The sequence below is a fragment of the Homo sapiens genome, chromosome 1 (assembly GCF_000001405.40).
Source record: "Homo sapiens chromosome 1, GRCh38.p14 Primary Assembly".
Taxonomy (NCBI): Eukaryota; Metazoa; Chordata; class Mammalia; order Primates; family Hominidae; genus Homo; species Homo sapiens.
Genome location: NC_000001.11, coordinates 192605160 through 192609354, shown reverse-complemented (window position 1 = coordinate 192609354; position 4195 = coordinate 192605160). Strand labels below are relative to the sequence as shown.

Genomic DNA, 4195 nt, shown 5'->3' with positions numbered 1-4195 from the left:
GTGGCAGGATGTGAATCGAAAGTTAGTTACATGAAAAAGAGGAACTGCAGAATGCTGCCGGCGAGAGTGGTGAGGAGGTGACAGCTACAACCCACGTCAGTGCTGTGGGATCCAGTAGCAGCAGATGGTGCTTGGTGTCTGGGGTTTTGGCTCTGAAAGCAGCAGTGTGTGTGCCCAGCGGTGGTGGTGATGCCAATTTGTGGGACAGTTTCGCAGCAGGATTTGGGAGGAGGTTTCCAACTTCTGGGCCTCCTAGAGATGATGAGAACTATCCAATAGTCTTCTAATACATAAATTCCTTTCATGCTTAATTACATTTTTGTCTTGCATTATTTTTGCTGTAATAGTAAAGAATTCCTAACTTATATACTTCCCATTTCCAAAGCAGAAAAACACGATGCCTACATTGTGATAAAATAAGGCCTATCATTCTTTCTTACTTTCCAAATTATCCATAAATTTCCCTCTTTTCTGCCAATGATGAGCTGGATAAAATGGTGGTGGCAGTTGTGGTGGAGGCGGAGGTGGTGGTGGTGGTGGTGTGTGCAATGTATGGTTTATGAGAGTGTGTAAATTTGACAACAGGGAAGATTTCTGCCATTAGGGAGATGTCAAAGACCCAGGTGCTGCCCTTGATATTTATTTTGGGTTTGTTTAAGTGTCATGTCTTTTCTTCATCCCTTAGAGCAGCATACACAAGTTATAGCACCAGTAGCCAGGGAATGTCACAAGTTTTATGTAGAACAGTGGATGAACATAAATAAGGGCTCTGAGTACTTGCCCATCAGCAGTAATAGGTTGCAAATGCCAGCAGATCTGTTGGAGACCTACTCTGTACATTAAAAGCACCTGAACCTCAGACCTTGAATTCAAATATCTCATTATATGTATATTTTTACTATGATGTAGATACCCATTGTCTTATTGTTGGAAATGGGCTGGTTTTTTTTTTTTTTTAGAGCATTTTGGTTAGGAGCATTGGGACCTGATAGAAATGAGTTAAATTCCAGTGTTGGCATTTAGTTGCTGGGTGACTTCCAGCATGAGTTACTTAAACTTATGTAAAAATGAATTTTTAATTACACAAATAAAACACAAAACTATTTTCTTTATGAAATGTAAACAATTGCAGATAAGTCTAAATAAAGCTTGTGACACTTCTTTAGCACCCCAGTGCCTGACGTTCCCCAGAGGCAAACACTATCTCCCTTTTCCTCATCTGTAAAATAACTATAATGATACCTATAATACCTACTTGACAGGCTTGTGGTACGGCTCCCTGACTCAGCAAACCAAATTAGAATGCCTTCCCTGATCTTCCAGACGAGCTCAGATAGCCTTGCTTTATGATCCCATGACAGACACTCTGTACTTCTTGATAGCAAATTTACAACGGTTATTTATGTTTTTAATTACAGTAGAGTATTATTTACCTAGCACATTCAGGATTTGGTGTATACATGATTGATGATATATCCAGAGTTTAGATAACCTTAATCCCAAAGCACAGAAGAATAGGGAATAAAAAGGATGTTTTGGCCTGCAATATATGTATTCCATGCCAAATGTATGTTTGTGTGAGTGTGTGTGTGTGTGTGTGTGTGTGTGTGTATACATATATATATTTGCATTATTGTTGCCCTCAACAGTTGAGGAAATATGAATATCAATTCAATAACCTATGTATCTAAAAAATTAAAATTTCTCATCTCCTCTTACTTAATTTCAAAACCTGGTTGTTCTGGGGTTTCCATATAACTGTGGTATTAAGGCAGGAAGAGATCACCTGGTTGCCATCCTCTGTTTATGCTGGAGTCCCTCCACACCACCTTCTTGTTCTGTTGGTTGAGCTACTTTGATGGCCTTGTCATCTCTGATCCTGTAGAGTCTTCAGTTGCTGGCCCAGTTGGGTCATTGCTGAATGCTCCTTGTCTCTGACGAAAACCCCTTTGAGTCCAGTCCTCTAGCAATTTCCATGCTCTTCCATGGCTCGAGCAGTGGAGCCTTCTACAGCTTCCCAAGTCCAGCTGTCTAGAGACCCCATGTAGTTCTTCTTTCTCTGCTATGCCTGCATTGTGATGGGGTGGAGAATCTCTGCCAAATATGCTGCTTTTTCAGCTCTACCCAGAACTTTCTTATTTATTTATTTATTTTGAGGCAGGATCTCTCTTTGTCACCCAGGCTGGAGTGCAGTGGCACGATCTTGTCTCATTACAGCCTTGACCTCCTGGGCTCAAGCAATCCTCCCCCTTCAGCCTCCCAGAGAGCTGGAACTACAGGTGTGCGCCACCATACCTGGATAATTTTTTGTGTTTTTTGTAGAGACAGAGTTTTGCCATGTTGCCAAGTACCCAGCACTTTCTGTCAGCACCTGGATTCTTAGAACTACCTGGCTGTTTTGTAATATTCCTCCCCTGGGATAAATCCCATTTGGCAGGTTGGGCAATTTGTACTTGTTTTCCATTCTCCTTGAAATGCTCTTCTCATAAAAACACAAAGCTCACCTCTCCAGTTCCTTCAGGTTCCAGCATTGTCTCATCACAGGGACTTTCCCTGAACACACTTATGTAAACCTTCTCCATGTCCATATTCTCTATGCCTTTAACCCCTATTATTTTTATTTTAGTATTTATTGCTGATTGATTTCTATTTCTTTTTTCCTCACTTTCTCTCTATTTTTATTATTATCACTATTATTATCTGTTTCCCCAAGATAATACAAATAATTAAGTTGCAGAAGTTGATAGGATTTGAATGTAGCTCTGTTTGTCTTCAAGTAGATGCTCTATCTGGGACAATACACTGCATGTGTTAAACCCTTTGAATACTCTAAAACACTGTCAAAAACTCATAAACCCACAATAGTAATGACTTTTTAACCAATACAACTGACCAAATATTCATGAGTCTTTGTCACATTTTCTTCATTAATACAGTAAGTAACTAAAGTGGCAAAGTACATGCATCCATTAGAGACACAGTCTAGGTAGGAATTCCAGTATGAAAAATACTGGCCTCCCTGCTTGAGACTGAGTCTAGGGTAGGCAGAATGCCCACCACCCAGATAGACAAGCAATACAGAGATCTCCACTAAGAGGTTTCTGGTCCATGCCGTTTTGCAGCTCCTTCCTTCCTTCCTTCCTTCCCTCCTTCCTTCCTTCCCTCCTTCCTTCCTTCCCTCCTTCCCTCCTTCCTTCCCTCCTTCCCTCCTTCCTTCCTTCCCTCCTTCCCTCCTTCCTTCCTTCCCCCTTCCTTCCTTCCTTCCCTTCTTCCTTCCTCCCTCCTTCTTTTTTCTTTCTTTCTTTCTTTCTCTCTCTCTCTTTCTTTCTCTCTTTCCTTCCTACTTTCCTTTCTTCCTTCCTTCATTCCTCCCTCCCTCCCTCCCTCTTCTTTCTTTCTCTCTATTTCCTTCCTTCCTTCCCTCCCTCTTTCTTTCTTTCTTTCTTTCTTTCTTTCTTTCTTTCTTTCTTTCTGTCTGTCTGTCTGTCTGTCTGTCTGTCTTTCTTTCTTTCTGTCTTTCTTTCTTTCTCTCTTTCCCCCTCCCTCCTCCTCCCTCCCTCTCTCCTCTCTCTTTCTCTCATTCTCTTTCTCCCCCTCCCTCCCTTCCTCCTTCCATCTGTCTCTCTTTCTTTCTGTATTTCATGTAAGACAGGATTTTCTATATTGCTCAGGCTAGTCTCAAACTTCTGGCCTCAAGTAGTCCTTCTGCCTCAGCATCCTGAGTAGCTGGGATTATAGGCATGCACTGCCATGCCCAGCTATGAATTCCAATAGTAGTATTCAATACTATTGTTTAGTTTTTAGTGTTTTTATTTAAAAATTCAATTAAAGTTGAAAATAATAGCAATGAATTTTCATTCCATAAACTTTCTTTGGAAACACTTTTATTAGATTAATGTTAGGCCAAGAACAGCTGGCTACCCAATTTTTATAACAAAACTTTATAGACTTAAGGAAACAGTGGTCTATGCCTGTCTTGATGTTGTAAGGTGACCTGAGTGTTTTCAAGATTACCAAAGTATTATAGAAATGCATGTTAAAATGATAAAGAGAAAAACAACAACACACACACACAAAAAAAAAACACATTGCAATCAAGCACGTCACACACGTCTAGATAAAAATGATGACTCTTTGTGTGGAGTTAGATGTCATTAAAAGCATAGACCATGATTTAAAATAGTTGCTGTGGTCA

At 40.4% G+C, this 4195-nt stretch overlaps 1 long non-coding RNA gene across 1 annotated transcript in view; it reads left to right on the top strand.

Annotated features, from left to right (window-relative positions):
* The window catches only part of LOC105371664 (uncharacterized), a 115921-nt gene that overhangs the window by 19679 nt on the left and 92047 nt on the right, over positions 1–4195 (top strand). The gene's annotated exons all lie outside the window — the stretch shown is intronic.